This window comes from Homo sapiens, chromosome 19 (genome assembly GCF_000001405.40).
Source record: "Homo sapiens chromosome 19, GRCh38.p14 Primary Assembly".
Classification (NCBI taxonomy): Eukaryota; Metazoa; Chordata; class Mammalia; order Primates; family Hominidae; genus Homo; species Homo sapiens.
In genome coordinates this window covers 48,537,553-48,553,555 of record NC_000019.10, presented here as the reverse complement: position 1 = coordinate 48,553,555, position 16,003 = coordinate 48,537,553, and the positions used below count along the sequence as shown (strand labels likewise).

Below are 16,003 nucleotides of genomic sequence, written 5' to 3'. Positions count from 1 at the left end.
GGATCACCTGAGGCAAGGAGTTCAAGAACAGCCTGGCCGACATGGTGAAACCCTTTCTCTACTAAAAATACAAAAATAAAATTAGCCGGGCATGGTGGCGGGCTCCTGTAATCCCAGTTACTTGGGAAGCTGAGGCTGGAGAATCACTTGAACCCAGGACGCGGAGGCTGCAGTGAGCTGATATCGTGCCATTGCACTCCAGCCTGGGCAACAAGAGCGAAACTCCATTTCAAAAAAATAAAATAAAATAAGAAAGGAATGAGGCAACTGGGCTGAGAACAGGTCTTGGTTGTCTCCCTCCTCACAGCCCACGGTGGCTGGAGGGGCCCAGGCTGCCAGGAAGGTCTCACTTGGCAAGAGTGCAAGATACGAGGGGTTGGAGATTGTCTCAGCAGTTTGCTGTGTGATCTGGGGCAGGCTGCCTGCCCTCTCTGGGCCTCTGCGCTCCCCTAAAAGATGGAGCCACGGGGAGGGGTGTAAAGGGGACATCACCAAGGCTGTGAGGAGCAGGAGAAACCACAGGCTCTGGCGTGAGACAGACCGGGTTCAGATTTGCTTCTAGCTGCGTAATTGCGGTCATGTCGCGTTCCCTCCCAGCCTCAGTTTCCCCATCTGGAAAGCAGGTACTGTCAAAGTGTCTGACTCATCCCCAGGAAGAGGGAGTCACGCTGAGCTCATGGAAGTGGGCAGTGCTCTGCCCTAACCACTGTTAGGAGACCTGAAGAGTCCAGAGCCTGCCCTCTCCGCCCCAAGTGCCCTAGAACACAGCTTCTCCCTCTGGGGGTCTCAGCAGCATCCCAGTCTCTCCCATTTCACCCCCAAGCACCCCCGTTATTTCAGGGCTTGCATGGGGTGTCCTGGGTACTACAGGCTGTTGTGTTTCCTGAGCAACTACTATGCACCAAGCTGCCTGCTCTCTTCCACTGCTCTATCAGGGAGACACAGGGCTTGTGGGCCCCTTTGACAGACAGAAAAACTGAGGCCCGGAGAGCGACAGGGACACCCCAGGCATCCCCACTGGTGACTCAACACGGTCGGGTCCTCACTCCCTTCTCAGGAGGGACCTATACACCACACTGGATGCCCCAGCCCAGCCCAGCCCCTCCAGCTAAGTCTGGGCCAGGCCTGCGGCTGCGGGTGGCTGGAGGCCACCCTTGCCACAGTCCCCGGCTCCCCCAAACAGCCACCTCCTCCCTGGGATCTCCTGGCTCCTGCCCAGGTCTGGGCCTCACCTGATTTCCGAGATGTCATCTTCATAGGTGTCCCACAAGCCCGGGATCTGGGGCTCGGCGGGCCCGTCCATGGCAGGTGGGTGAGGGTGGGGAGGGGAGGACGAGCAGGGAGCAGGCGGCACAGAGGCCAGGTGTGCGCAGCGACAGCGTCTGCCACCTGGGGAGCCCGCCAGGTGCCTACTCCGTGCCCGGCCCAAGGGGAGGGGCAGCACCCAGCCGGTTCTCCCAGCTGCTACCCACGCCTCCAACAGCGGGGAGAGGCCAGAGGGAGCCACCCTGCTCTGAGGGCGGGGAGGAGCAGTGATGGGCACGTCCTGGCGTCTGGTGCTCAGCTGGGGGCAGAGTCCAGGGGGTCAGTGCCAAGCCCACGCCAGAACCTTCCGGGCTGGCAGTTCTGGGCCTGTGGGCACCCACCTGGAGCCCACGTTGCTCATTTGGGAAATGGCGCTGATCTCGCCCATCTCAGCGAGTTCATTCATTCATTCATTCATTCACTCATTCATTCCTTTATTCATTTGAGAAATATTTACTGAGCATCTCCTGTCTGCCAGGCGCTGTTCCAAGCACTAGGCCACCGCTGGGGAAGGGGCAGACAGAAACTTGCCCTCACGGGCTGACGCGTAAGGGGCACCCTGGAAACAGACACAGGGACAGAGGCACAGCCAGGACCACGGCAGCACAGACAGGGCGGGAGCCAGGGAGAAAGGGAGAGGGCAGAGGGCATGGGAGACAGAGACCAGGAGGGGACTGAGATGCACAGGGGCCAGAGACCTTGAGAGACGCAACAGAGATACACGGAGGGCGGAGACAGAGACACACGGACACCCAGAGGAGACAGAGACACACAGGGGTCAGAGACCCTGAGAGACCCAGCAGCGATATACAGAGGGCAGAGACAGAGATACATAGAAAGGTCAGGGACAGGGAGAGACACAGATATGAGAGACAACTGCCAGATATGGTTGGGCGTGAGAGTCTGAAGGTCACAGCCCTGGTTCAAATCCCAGCTCCAGTGCCTCCCAGCTGTGGGGCCGGGAACCATCTTGCTCATAGGCTCATCTTGCCTTAGTTTCCCCATCTGTGAATGGCACCCATCGGGCTGTTGTGAGGACTGAGGGAGACACTCTCAGCTGCTGGTGGAGGATCTGGTACACAGTGAGCTCAGCATAGACGGTGTTCTCTTCTCTTCTGCCCCCACCCCAAACCCTGGCCCTCCCCAGCTGTTGGTCCCTGACCCCTCAGAGTCCTGGAGTCATGAAGCCAGTCTCCCCACCAGTGGTGGCAGGTGCCTGTAATCCCAGCTACTTGGGAGGCTGAGACACGAGAATCGCTTGAACCTGGGAGGTGGAGGTTGGAGTGAGCTGAGATCACATCACTGCACTGCAGCCTGGGCGACAGAGAGAGACTCCATCTCAAAAAAAAAAAAAAAATGCCAAAAGAAAGCCTGTGCAATGGCTCACGCCTGTAATTCCAGCACTTTGGGAGGCCGAGGCGGGTGAATCGCCTGAGGTCAGGAGTTCAAGACCAGCCTGGCCAACATAGTGAAACCCCATCTCTACTAAAAATACAAAAAATTAGCTGGGCATGGTGGCAGGTGCCTGTAATCCCAGCTATTCGGGAGGCTGAGGCAGGAGAATCACTTGAACCCTGGAGGCAGAGGTTGCAGCGAGCCAAGATTGTACTGTTGCACTCCAGCCTGGGCAACAAGAGTGAAACTCCATCTCAAAAAGAAAAAAAAAAAAAGCCAAAACAAATAAAATTGTATATACTGACCAATTATTGTTGCATAGGTGAGGGGGATGGAAGACGTCAGACTCACCTAACAGATGCAGGAAGGGGGCCCAGAGAGGTAATGTGGCTTCCCCCAGGGCACACAGCACTGCCCGCCTTCACTCTGATGGTAAGCAGAAAAGGAGGGTTCTGGGGTATCCCATCTCTCAATTCACCACCCCAAGACCCGTCTCCAGGAGGCTGAGCTGTGGGAGCACCCGCCCCTGCCCCCAGCCACTACCGAGTCCACATCCTCAACATTCTGCCTTGATACTTTCAGTGTTAAGCCTTGATGTTCCTGCTGATAAAAAGGCTCTCTTGCAGGGTGGGTGGAAGGGTGAGAGGGCCAGGCATCCCCCTCTGAGGCTGAGTGAACCCCTCTGATGTCGGAGGTGGGGGACTGAACCATGACACCCCACCAGGCCTCCGGCTGGGCTGTCTTCACCTTTGTTTTCTATTCAATGACCCTTTGTCCCTGGCTCTGTGTGCTGCTGGGGTGGGGGGTTAGGGAGAGTCTGGGGAAGGGAATGCCCAGGTCCTTAGGGATCCTGAGAGGGAAACTCGCAGGCAGGTGCGGAGGCATCCCCGGGGCACAGGAAGGTTGGGGAGCAGTAGGGCCTGAGGTTGTGCCTGAGTGGGCAATGGAAAGAAACTGGCCAAACTAGGCGGCCTAAGACCCAGGGGAGGCTCCTACTGCAGGGCCTTTGCCCTTGCTATTCCCGCATGTTCCTGATACCTGGGAGCTTCGTGGGCTCCTATCGTCTGACTCTGCCCAGTGTCACCTCCCCCAGGCTCGTCCACCAACTTCTCCATTCCTCTTTCCTGTTTTACTTTTTCCCATAGCACTCGTCACCATCTGACCTCCTAAATGTTTTGCTTCTTTGTCTTGTTTACCATCTATCTCCCCACTAGACTGTCAACCCCATGAAAGAAGGGCTTGTTCTATGTCAAATCTGCGGTTATTTCCCAAGGGAAGAGCCTGGAATATAGTAAATGCTCAATAAGTGCCTGTTGATGGAATGAATGAATTGTCACAGGAAGACGTGATGGAATGAGTGAAGGTCATGGTGGTGCCAGGAGAAGTCCACTGAATCTCTGTGGAGAATGAGGAGGGAGCTGAGGAGATGCAAAAGCCTGATTCTGGAAGGCGAGGGGTCCAGACTCCTACAGAGGTGGCAAGGAGGAACCAGAAGACACCAGAGTGACATTTTAGCCAATTGTGAGAGTGCAGAGATACTAGTGGAGACCATCAACCCCCAGAAATGAATCTGAGGGTCTTGGACATCTGGGAGACAAGGACGAGACCAGAAGGATGAAGGAGTGGGCTGGGCTTGGTGGCTCATGCCTGTAATCCCAGCACTTTGGGAGGCCCAGGCGGGTGGATCACGAGGTCGGGAGTTCAAGACCAGCCTGGCCAACATAGTAAAACCCCGTCTCTACTAAAAATACAAAAATTAGCCGGGAGTGGTGGTGGGTGCCTATAATCCCAGCTCCTCAGGAGGCTGAGGCAGAGAATTGCTTGAACCCAGGAGGTGGAGATTGCAGTGAGCCGAGATTGTGCCACTGTGCTCCAGCCTGGGCAACAGAGCAAGACTCGGTCTCAATTAAAAAAAAAAAAAAAAAAAGATGAAGAGTGTGGGAAAATGCAAGTGGAAAACCCAGAGCCACTTGGTCATGGGTAGTGAGAGGAGCAAGGATTATACATCCATTCATCCCTCCAGCTGTTCATCCCTCTATCTATGCATCCACCTGTCCCTCTATTCATCCATCATCCATCCACCCGACCATCCACCCAACCATTCATTCAGCCACCCAACCACTTATCCAATCATCCATTCAACATCCATCTATCTACCCATCCAACCATCCATCCCTCCATCCATTCATCAGCCATCAAACCATCCACCTCTTCATCCATTCATCATCTATCCATCCATTCATCCATCCAACCATCTACTCAACCATCCATCTATCCAGCCATCCATCACCCATCCATCCATTTTCCATCCATTCATCTAGCCACCCAACCATCCAACCATCCATCTATCCATCCATCCTGCATTCATTCAGCCATTTATTCATCCATCACCCAACCATTCCTTCATCTATCCATTCATCCATCCATCCTGCCATCCATTCATCACTGTCTATCCATTCATCCATCCAAGCATCTACTCAACCATCCTTCTATCCATCCATCCATCCTCTATTCATCCACTCAGCCAGGTATCCATTCAACCAGCCATCTATGCATCCATCTTTCTATGCATCCTCCATCCATTCATCCATCCATCCAACCATCTACCCATCCATTCGACCATCCGTCCATCCATCCATCCATCCATCCATCCATCCATGCATCCACTCATCCATTCATCCAGGCATCCAATAGTCTATTTTTCCAACTAATATCTGTAGAGACCTCCTCTGGGTCAGTCTCTGATATTGTGTCCACAAACAAGACATGTAAGTAAATGGCTTACATCTGTGCTGTCCATCCCAGAAGCCACTGGCCATAGGTGGCTATTTAGCACCTATGTGCAATGTGACTGAGAAAGTGAAAATTTTCCATTTTATTTCATTTTAATTAATTTAAATAAATTTAATTTAAAAAAATTAAAATTAATTTAAATTAATTAAAATGAATTAATTTTATTTCATTTTAAAAATTTTTAAAAAATAAAAAATTATTTCATTTTAATTAATTTAAATGAAATTAAATTTTCATTTAATTAATTCCATTTTAATGTACCTTTTCGAAATTGAGCATCAAAATTGAGATACAAAGCATATAAAACATCTCATGGGTAATTTCTATATTGATTACATGCTGAAGTGGTGATATTTTAGATACATCAAATTGAATAAAATCTATTCCTACAATTAATTATTTTCTTTTCTTTTTTCCTTCTAGTCTTTTTTTTTTTTGAGACGGAGTCTTGCTCTGTCACCCAGGCTGGAGTGTAGTGGCATAATCTTGGCTCACTGCAACCTCCACCTCCCAGGTTCAAGCAATTCTCCTGCCTCAGCTTCCTGAGTAGCTGGGATTACAGGCGCCCACCACCATGCCCGGCTAATTTTTTTTTTTTTTCGTATTTTTAGTAGAGATGAAGTTTCACCATGTTGGCCAGGCTGGTCTCGAACTCCTGACCTCATGATCCTCCTGCCTCAGCCTCTCAAAGTGCTGGGATTACAGGTGAGCCACCACACCTGGCCCTTCCAGTCTTAAAGCTGGAGAAAACTACAATTAATTTTACCTGTTTCTTTTTTGTTTTTGAGACAGAGTCTCACTCTGTCACGATCTGTGCATCTCGGCTTACTGCAACCTCTGCCTTCCAGGTTCAAGTGATTCTTCTGCCTCAGCCTCCTGAGTAACTGGGGTTGCAGGGGCGCACCACCATGCCCAGCTAATTATTTTGTATTTTTAGTAAAGATGGGGTTTCACCACGTTGGTCAGGCTGATCTTGAACTCCTGACCTCAAATGATCTGCTCACCTCAGCCTCCCAAAGTGCTGGGATTACAGGCGTGAGCCACCGTGCCTGGCCACCTATTTCTTTTTGCTTTTTTTAAAAAATGTGGCAACTTGTGGTGTGTGCTTGGAGGCTATTTGTATTGACTGCTGGCTTGGGCTAAGTTCCATGTGCTTGATACCCTGGCTGTAGAGGCCAGGACCTTCTTGGGAGGCCAGGAATGACTTCCCAGGAAAAGGATGCCCCAGTAGGCAAAACCAAGGACAGAGGAACTCACCAGATGGGTAAGTGGGACTTGAGTGGTGGAAAAGGCGTCTTGTTAGAAAGCCTGGCAGAGACAAAGGCCTAGAGGCTGGAAAGACATTGGGAGGTGTTTCCTCCAGGCCAAAGAGGGGGCCTCTGGGGGCCAGGCTCAGTGCCTCACCTCTGTAATCCCAGCACTTTGGGAGGCTGAGGCAGGAGGATCGCTGAAGCTCAGGAGTTTGATATCAGCCTGGGCTACAAGGCCTCATCTCTACAAAAAATTTAAAAATTATCTGAGCATGGTGTCGGTGCACCTGTGGTCTCAGCTACTCGGGAGGCTGAGGTGGAAGGACCACTTGAGCCCAGGAGGTTGAGGCTGCAGTGAGCTATGATTGCACCACCGTGCTCCAGCCTGGGTGACGAAAACAAAACAGGCCAGACGCGGTGGCTCATGCCTGTAATCCCAGCACTTTGGGCAGCCAAGGTGGGCAGATCACCTGAGGTCGGGAGTTTGAGATCATCCTGACTAACACAGAGAAACCCTGTCTCTACTGAAAATACAAAATTAGCCCGGTGTGGTGGCGCATGCCTGTAATCCAGCTACTCGGGAGGCTGAGGCAGGAGAATCGCTTGAACCCGGGAAGCGGCAGTTGCGGTGAGCCGAGATCGTGCCATTGCACCCCAGCCTGGGCAACAAGAGGGAAACTTCATCTCAAAAAACAAAACAAACAAAACAAAACAAAAGCCCCCAAAACAAAGAATAGCACTGGGGATAGGGAGGTAGTCCTGGGTTCCTGGGTAGGGGTTGACAGTGAGGGCGTCCAGGGACACTCACACCCATCCCTGGGGGCTTAAGGGTGGCAGGTGGGGATGGGCTGGGCCACTCAGGACATGCCCTCCACTCCCATAAACCCAAAGCACGATGGACACGTCACCTGTGTGCCACCGACCACAAGGAGGCTGTCTCCTGTTCTACACCTTGGGCTGATTGCGAAGGGGGCATTGGAAGTGGCCTTGCCAATGGGCTGAGGGTGGACAGCAGGGGACTCCCATCGTGGAGCAATTCCTTGGCCTCTCTTGGGGGGGCCCACCTGCCCCCCAAGCCCTGGGATGTGCCATTTTGCTCTTGGAGCTCAGACATAGGCAAAGGGAGGTCACTGGGTCATGAGGTCACGTTTCCACAGAATCGAGGCCATTGTCACCTCCAGAGCCCGACCTTTCCATTAAAAGCCAGTCATTGCCGGGAGTTCTGGGAGCCCGAGGACAGCCAGCCCTGGCTGCTTAGAGGCTGGGTTCCCGAGGGGGCAGGGGCTGGGGGCGGGGCGTCCAAATCCCAAGTCAGGAAGGATCCAAGGAGGAACCCGAATGGGGTGGGAAGGGGGCACGGTCCAGAGCTGGGGGACCAGGCTCCTGGGTTTGATGGAGGAGGGGCCTGGGCCAGACCCCAGTGACCCAGACAGACAAAAATGGGACACTTAGACATGTGGACCTGGGGAAGGGGGTTGGGGGGAGGTTACGGGTGGTAGAGGACACCCCTGTCCCCAAGCCCACGCAATGCCCCCTTGAGGCTCAGGCAACCTCAGATGGGTGGGGTGAGAGATGGCGGCTGACACCTCAAAGCCACGCTGGTTCCCCCCAGCCGTCCCCTCTAATCACTGGGTCCATCTTGGGGTGCAGCGAAACCTCCTTGTCTGCTCCCCACCCCACCCTGATTACTCCATCCCCACGATGTGCCGGCACAGGCCCCCAGGGCCGATACCACCGCCCGCCCCACCCCGCACACTCACACTCACACTCATGCCCCGCCTGCCCTGAGCTGGGCTGGGGCTGGGCTGGAGGCCACTTGGGGTGGGCCCCACACCACGCCTAGGCTCCTCTCTTGGGAGGGGGCCACTGAGAGTGCCGGCTCCTGGGTCCCCAAGGTGACAGAGACTGGGGAGGGATGCTGGGGGAGTGGGGTGGGGGGACTGAAGGCCAGAACCTGGGTCCTTACTGGCTGCATGGTCACAAAAGGGGAACAGGGTGGGGAGAGAGGCAGGTGCACACAGAGCAGGGGGCCCAACAGGCCACGGCTGTAGTGACAATGTGTCAGGGAACCAGAGCTGGAGGCTGGACTCCTGGGTCTGAGGGAGGAGGGGCTGGGGGTCTGGACTCCTGGGTCTGAGGGAGGAGGCGCTGGGGGTCTGGACTCCTGGGTCTGAGGGAGGAGGCGCTGGGGGTCTGGACTCCCGGGTCTGAGGGAGGAGGCGCTGGGGGTCTGGACTCCCGGGTCTGAGGGAGGAGGGGCTGGGGGCCTGGACTTCTGGGTCTGAGGGAGGAGGCGCTGGGGGTCTGGACTCCTGGGTCTGAGAGAGGAGGGGCTGGGGGTCTGGACTCCTGGGTCTGAGGGAGGAGGCGCTGGGGGTCTGGACTCCTGGGTCTGAGGGAGGAGGGGCTGGGGGCCTGGACTCCCGGGTCTGAGGGAGGAGGGGCTGGGGGCCTGGATTCCCGGGTCTGAGGGAGGAGGGGCTGGGGGCCTGGAATTCTGGGTCTGAGGGAGGAGGCGCTGGGGGTCTGGACTCCTGGGTCTGAGAGAGGAGGGGCTGGGGGTCTGGACTCCTGGGTCTGAGGGAGGAGGCGCTGGGGGTCTGGACTCCTGGGTCTGAGGGAGGAGGCTGGGGGCCTGGACTCCTGGATCTGAGGGAGGAGGGGCTGGGGGCCTGGACTCCTGGGTCTGAGGGAGGAGGGGCTGGAGGTCTGGACTCCTGGGTCTGAGGGAGGAGGCGCTGGGGGTCTGGACTCCTGGGTCTGAGGGAGGAGGCTGGGGGCCTGGACTCCTGGATCTGAGGGAGGAGGGGCTGGGGGCCTGGACTCCTGGATCTGAGGGAGGAGGCTGGGGGCCTGGACCTCTGGGTCTGAGGGAGGAGGGTCTGGGGGCCTGGACTCCTGGGTCTGAGAGAGGAGGGGCTGGACTCCTGGGTCTGAGGGAGGAAGGGCTGGGACTGGGGGTCAGGGAGGTTGGGTTTCTGGTTTCCTGGGCTGGGACAGACTGAGCCAAGTGAGGGGTGTGCGGTGGGAGTGTTGTGTTGGGGGGTCTGGGGTCTATAGGGGTACACCGGTGAGCACGGTAGCCACTCCTCCCCTGTGTCTTTTGGGCCTGGGGTGCTCCCAGCACCATCCTCACCTGTCCCCGGCGCTCTCCTCTGCCAAACGCCAGGACCAGTCAAACCAGCTGTGCCAGTTGGGAATCACCGTGCACCACCACCCTCCGATACCCCCCTTCCCTGCAGTGGCTTCAGGGAGGCCTGCGCCCAGCCCGAGGGTGGTGCATGGGTGGGCAGGAGGCCGGATTACAGGAGAACAGGACGCCCCAATCGCTGCTTCATCTTTCCACCTCCCACCCTCATCTTGCTCATCCCTGTTCGGCTCCTCCTCCTCCTGCCTCGGGCCAGGGCACTGCCCCCACTTCCTCCAGGGGCCTGGCTTCCTCCTTGGCCCTCAGTCCCTGAAAACATGCTCCATGACACATGCTTCCAGCCCTTCCTGCCGCTGGGCCCCATCCATTCACGTTCATTCATTCCCCAGCACCTGTTGCATGCCAGGCACCGTTCCAGGCGCTGGAGACAGAGTGGCAAAAAAAAAAAAAAAAAAAGTGAGAACGGACTCATGGTGGGAAGAACATTGCCCCCCCAAGAGATGTTCGGGTCCTAATCCTAGAAAGTGCGAACATGTGACCTCCCACCACAAAAGAGACTGTAGATGTAATGGAGTGAGGTTTTTTTTTTTTTTTCTTTGAGACAGAGTCTCGCTCTGTCGCCCAGGCTGGAGTGCAGTGGTGTCATCTTGGCTCACTGCAACCTCTGCCTCCTGGGTTCAAGTGAATCTCTTGCCTCAGCCTCCTGAATAGCTGGAATTACAGGCACGTGCTCCCATGCCCAGCCAGTTTTTTATTTTATTTTATTTTATTATTATTATTATTATTATTATTATTATTATTATTATTTGAGATGGAGTTTTGCTCTCGTTGCACAGGCTGGAGTGCAATGGCGCGATCTCGGTTCACTGCAACCTCTGCCTCCTGGGTTCAAGCGATTTTCCTGCCTCAGCCTCCCGAGTAGCTGGGATTACAGGCAGGCATGCACCACCACACCCAGCTAATTTTTTATTTTATTACCGTTATTATTATTGAGACTGAGTTTCACTCTTGTTGCCCAGGCTGGAGTGCAATGGCGCCATCTCAGCTCACTGCAACCTCCACTTCCCGGGTTCAAGCGATTCTCCTGCTCAGCTTCCCGAGTAGCTGGGGTTACAGGCATGCACCACCATGCCCAGCTAACTTTCTATTTTTAGCAGAGACGGGGTTTCTCCGTGTTGGTCAGGCTGGTCTCCAACTCCCGCCCTCAGGTGATCCACCTGCCTCAGCCTCCCAAAGTGCTGGGATTACAGGCGTGAGCCACCGTGCCTGGCTTAATTTTGGATTTTTTTACTAGAGACAGGGTTTCTCCATGTTGTCCAGGCTAGTCTCGAACTCCCAACCTTAGGTGATCCGCCCGCCTCGGCCTTCCAAAGTGATGGGATTACAGGCGTGAGCCATTGCGCCCAGCCTTAATTTTTTATGTTTTATTTTTGTAGAGATGGGGTCTGGCTATGTTACCCATGCTGGTATCAAACTCCTGGGCTCAAGCAATCCTCCTGCCTCAGCCTTCTGAATAGCTGGGACTTCAGGCGCTCAACACCATGCCTGGCTAAACTAAGAGATGCTTTAGGTGGGCAGTCAAGGTGGGCCTCTCAGAGGAGGTGGCCTGATGGAGGTGAGGCAGCAAGCTGGGTGCATATCTGGGGCAAGAGTATTGCAGTCATTGAGAATAGCCAGTGCAAAGGCCCTGTGGTGGAAAGGTGCCTGGTGTGATAGACGAATGTAAAGGAGGCCAGTGCGGCCAGAGCAGAGAACATGGGGGAGGAGCTGGTGGCCCACACACCTAGTGTCAGTTAGAAAATGACCTTCAAAAATATTGACCGGGCACGGTGGGTCACGCCTGTAATCCCAGCACTTTGGGAGGCCGAGGCACGTGGATCGCCTGAGGTTAGGAGTTTGAGACTAGCCTGGCCAACATAGTGAAACCCTGCCTCTACTAAAAATACAAAAAATTAGCTGGGCGTGGTGACAGGTGCCTGTAATCCCAGCTACTCAGGAGGCTGAGGCAGGAGAATTGCTTGAACTCGGGAGGCAGAGGTTGCAGTGAGCCGAGATCGCGCCATTGCACTCCAGCCTGGGCAACAAGAGCGAAACTCCATCTCAAAAAAAAAAAAAAAATCAGCTGGGCACGGTGGCTCACGCCTGTAATCCCAGCACTTTGGGAGCCTGAGGCGGGCAGATCACGAGATCAGGAGATCGAGACCATCCTGGCTAACACGGTGAAACCCTATCTCTACTAAAAATAAAAAAAATTAGCTGGATATGGTGGCGGGCACCTGTAATCCCAGCTACTTGGGAGGCTGAGGCAGGAAAATGGCGTGAACCTGGGAAGAGGAGCTTGCAGTGAGCCGAGATCGCGCCACTGCACTCAAGCCTGGGTGACAGAGCAACACTCTGTATCCAAAAAAAAAAAAAAAAAAATATATATATATATATATATACATACATACATATTAGTAGCCCAGGTGTGGTGGCTAACGCCTGTAATCCCAGCACTTTGGGGGAGTGAGGTGGAAGAATCGGTTGAGCTCAGGAATTCAAGACCAGCCTGGACAACATAGTGAGACCTCATCTCTGTGTGTGTGTGTGTGTGTGTGTGTGTGTGTGTATAATTATATATATATATATATATATATATACACACACCTATATATACACACACACACACACACGCATATATATATATATATATGCGTGTGTGTGTGTGTGTGTATATATGTAGTCACAGAGTCTTTTTTTTTTCTTTTTTCTTTTTTTTTTTTTTTGAGACGGAGTCTCGCTCTGTCACCTAGGCTGGAGTGGAGTGTTTCCATCTCGGCTCACTGCAACCTCCGCCTCCCGGGTTCAAGCGATTCTCCTGCCTCAGCATCCCGAGTACCTGGGATAACAGGCACTCACCACCACACCAGGCTAAGTTTTGTATTTTTAGTGGAGACGGGGTTTCACCATGTTGGTCAGACTGGTCTGGAACTCCTGGCCTCAAGTGATCCGCCCGCCTCGGCCTCCCAAAGTGCTGGATTACAAGCATGAGCCACCACGCCCGGCCTGTCACAGAGTCTTAATAATGGTATGCAGCTGCCTTGCAGGGAGCACTTTCCAGGTAAACGTGTACATTGAGGGCCATGGAGAAGAATAAGGCCAATCGAGAGACAGTAGGCACAGGTGGGGAAGGGGTTAAGCTGAATCTCCACTTTAAACCAAGATGATGACATTGGAACAAGCCTTTGAAGGAGGTGAGGAAAGGAAAGAGTGTTCTGGACAGAGGAGACAGCACAAGTAAGGGTCTGGATGTGGGACTGTGCCTCTCAGCTGGCTGAATGGCAGGACCGTGAGAGCTGAGTCCCAGCTCGGTTTTCCTCTGTGCCTGGGGACTGATCTCTCACGCTGCCTCCTCCCATGCAAACTCTCTCCCAGCTGCAGGATCGACACGCCTCGCCAATGCATGGATAGGCACATTACACAAGCAGGGACAGCTCTGTCACTCCAAGATACACAGTCAGTTATTTTTGTTAATTGTTTGGGATGGAGTCTCGCTCTTTCATCCAGGCTGGAGTGCAGTGGTGCGATCTTGGCTCGCGGCAACCTCTGCCTCCCGGGTTCAAGCGATTCTCGTGTCTCAGCCTCTCGAGTAGCTGGGATTACAGGTGCCCGCCATCATGCCCCGCTAATTTTTGTATTTTTAGTAGGGAGGGGGTTTCACCATGTTGCCCAGGCTGGTCCTGAACTCCTGACCTCAAGTGATCCACCTGCCTCGGCCTCCTAAAGTGCTGGGATTACAGGTGCCCAGCCATCAGTTTTATTATATTTGTCAAACACTTGTGTAGAACATACTCAGTGCCTGGCACAGTGCCAAGAGATCTGCACAGCTACGCGTTTCAGCCTCATGATGATCCTATGAGTAGGCACTATTATTATCTCCATCTTTCCAATGAGAAAACCAACATACAGGGCACTGACGTCACTTGTCCAAGTCGAAGCTGGCAGAAGACCATGCTAGAACCCAGGGGCCTGGGCTTCTGCTGGAGGCATGAACTAGACTCAAGGATAAAACATTTTGCACCTTTCCTGGCTCATAATAAATGCTTAATAAGCAGTAGCTCTGGGCCGCTAGTCCCCACGTAGGACTGCGCGTAAGAATTTCCTGGGCAGTTTTGTTTTTTTTTTTTTTTTTTTTTTTGAGACAAAGTCTTGCCCTGTCACCCAGGCTGGAATGCAATGGCACAATCTCAGCTCACTGCAACCTCCGCCTCCCGGGTTCAAGCAATTCTCCTTCCTTAGCCTACTGAGTAACTGGGATTACAGGCACCCACCACCACGCCCAGCTAATTTTTGTATTTTTAGTAGGGACGGAGTTTCACCATGTTGGCCAGGCTGGTCTCTAACTCTTGACCTCATGATCCGCCCGCCTCGGCCTCCCAAAGTGCTGAGATTACAGACGTGAGCCACCACACCTGGCTCCTGGGCAATTTTTACTTTCATTTATTTTATTTTATTTTATTTATTTTTATTTTTATTTTTTTTGAGATGGAGCCTCACTCTGTCGCCCAGGCTGGAGTGTAGTGGCGTGATCTCGGCTCACTGCAACCTCTGCTTCCCAGGTTCAAGTGATTCTCCTGCCTCAGCCTCCTGAGTAGCTGGGACTACAGGCATAGGCCACCAAACGTGGCTATTTTTTGTACTTTTTGTATTTTTTAGTAGAGATGGGATTTCACCATATTGGCTAGGCTGGTCTTGAACTCCTGACCTCGCGATCTGCCCACCTTGGCCTCCCAAAGTGCTGGGATTACAGGCATGAACCACCGCACCCAGCCCTGTGCGGTTTTTAAAAGCCAGTCCCCAAGCTAAGGAAGTCGGAAGCTCTGTCTGTCTCCCCCATTGGTTTGGGGTGTCAGGAGGAGGGGCTTTGTCTACTCCCCTCAGCACCATAGACCCACAGCTCTCTCAACAAACTGGGAAGAATTCACATCATACATGTTGAGCCCAAACTTAATAAAGCCTCATTTAGGGCAGGCGAGGTGGCTCACGCCTGTAATCCCAGCACTTTGGGAGGCCAAGGTGGGAGGATCACCTGAGGTCAGAAGTTCGAGACCAGCCTGGCCAACAAGGTGAAACCCCATCTCCACCAAAAGTACAAAAATTAGCCAGGTGTGGTGGTGGTCACCTGTAATCCCAGCTACTTGGGAGCCTGAGGCAGGAGAATTGCTTGAACCCGGGAGGTGGAGGTTGCAGTGAGCCGAGAATGCACCACTGCACTCAGGCCTGGGCGACAGAGCAAAACTCTTATCTTAAAGAATAAATAAATAAACATTACAATGGCAAAGACTTGGAACCAACCCAAATGCCCAACAATGATAGACTGGATAAAGAAAATATGGCACATATACATTGTGGAATACTATGCAGTCATAAAAAAGAATGAGTTCATGTCCTTTGAAGGGAAATGGATGAAGCTGGTAGCCATCATTCTCAGCAAACTAACACAGAAACAGAAAACCAAACAACGCATGTTCTCACTCATAAGTGCGAGTCGAACAATGAGAACACATAGACACAGGGAGGGGAACATCACACACCGGGGCCTGTCGGTGGGGGGTGGGGGGCAAGGGGAGGGAGAGCATTAGGACAAATACCTAATGCATGCAGGGCTTAAAACCTACATGATGGGTTGATAGATAGAGCAAACCACCATGAAACATGTATACCTATGTAACAAACCTGCGTGTTCTGCACATGTATCCCAGAACTTCAATTAAAATAAAAATAAATAAATAAGAAAAATAACACAAGCTCAAAATAGAAAAGCTGAGAATTGCAAAACAATGGAGGAGGAGGGACATGCAGTCTCTCTGGAGGCCATGGGACAGGTCGGTTGACATTTAGATAAGGGCCCCCTTCGTTCCTGAATTTCCACATCTCCAAATCACGTGAACTCAGTGATGTTTACTGCAGTGTTGTTTATGTTTGTCATGGGAAAGAAGCTGGAAACAACCCAGATGCCGTGCATAAGGGAAAAATTAAATAAACCAAGATACAGTCATTCTTGCAATGCAATGCAGCCAATTAAAGTGATCAAACCGAGACCGGGTGCGGTGGTTCCCACCTGAAATCCTGG

At 53.1% G+C, this 16,003-nt stretch overlaps 1 protein-coding gene across 1 annotated transcript in view, besides 3 other annotated features; it reads right to left on the bottom strand.

The window, feature by feature from the left end:
• Positions 1-1,384, bottom strand: part of SULT2B1 (sulfotransferase family 2B member 1) — a 47,256-nt gene extending 45,872 nt beyond the window's left edge. Inside the window, exon 1 of the mRNA NM_177973.2 lies at positions 1,233-1,384. Coding sequence (NP_814444.1) covers positions 1,233-1,303 — 71 coding nt within the window. The 5' untranslated portion in view covers positions 1,304-1,384. The remainder of the gene's footprint in view (positions 1-1,232) is intronic.
• Positions 1,440-1,964: an enhancer, noted in NCBI's record as "H3K27ac-H3K4me1 hESC enhancer chr19:49054849-49055373 (GRCh37/hg19 assembly coordinates)". NCBI's record gives its function as "activates a minimal SCP1, AML or CMV promoter by ChIP-STARR-seq in naive H9 embryonic stem cells {active_cell/tissue: H9 hESC(naive)}" and the evidence as "EXISTENCE:reporter gene assay evidence [ECO:0000049][PMID:30033119]".
• Positions 7,119-8,062: an enhancer, noted in NCBI's record as "H3K27ac-H3K4me1 hESC enhancer chr19:49048751-49049694 (GRCh37/hg19 assembly coordinates)". NCBI's record gives its function as "activates a minimal SCP1, AML or CMV promoter by ChIP-STARR-seq in naive and primed H9 embryonic stem cells {active_cell/tissue: H9 hESC(naive and primed)}" and the evidence as "EXISTENCE:reporter gene assay evidence [ECO:0000049][PMID:30033119]".
• Positions 9,449-9,988: an enhancer, noted in NCBI's record as "H3K27ac-H3K4me1 hESC enhancer chr19:49046825-49047364 (GRCh37/hg19 assembly coordinates)". NCBI's record gives its function as "activates a minimal SCP1, AML or CMV promoter by ChIP-STARR-seq in naive H9 embryonic stem cells {active_cell/tissue: H9 hESC(naive)}" and the evidence as "EXISTENCE:reporter gene assay evidence [ECO:0000049][PMID:30033119]".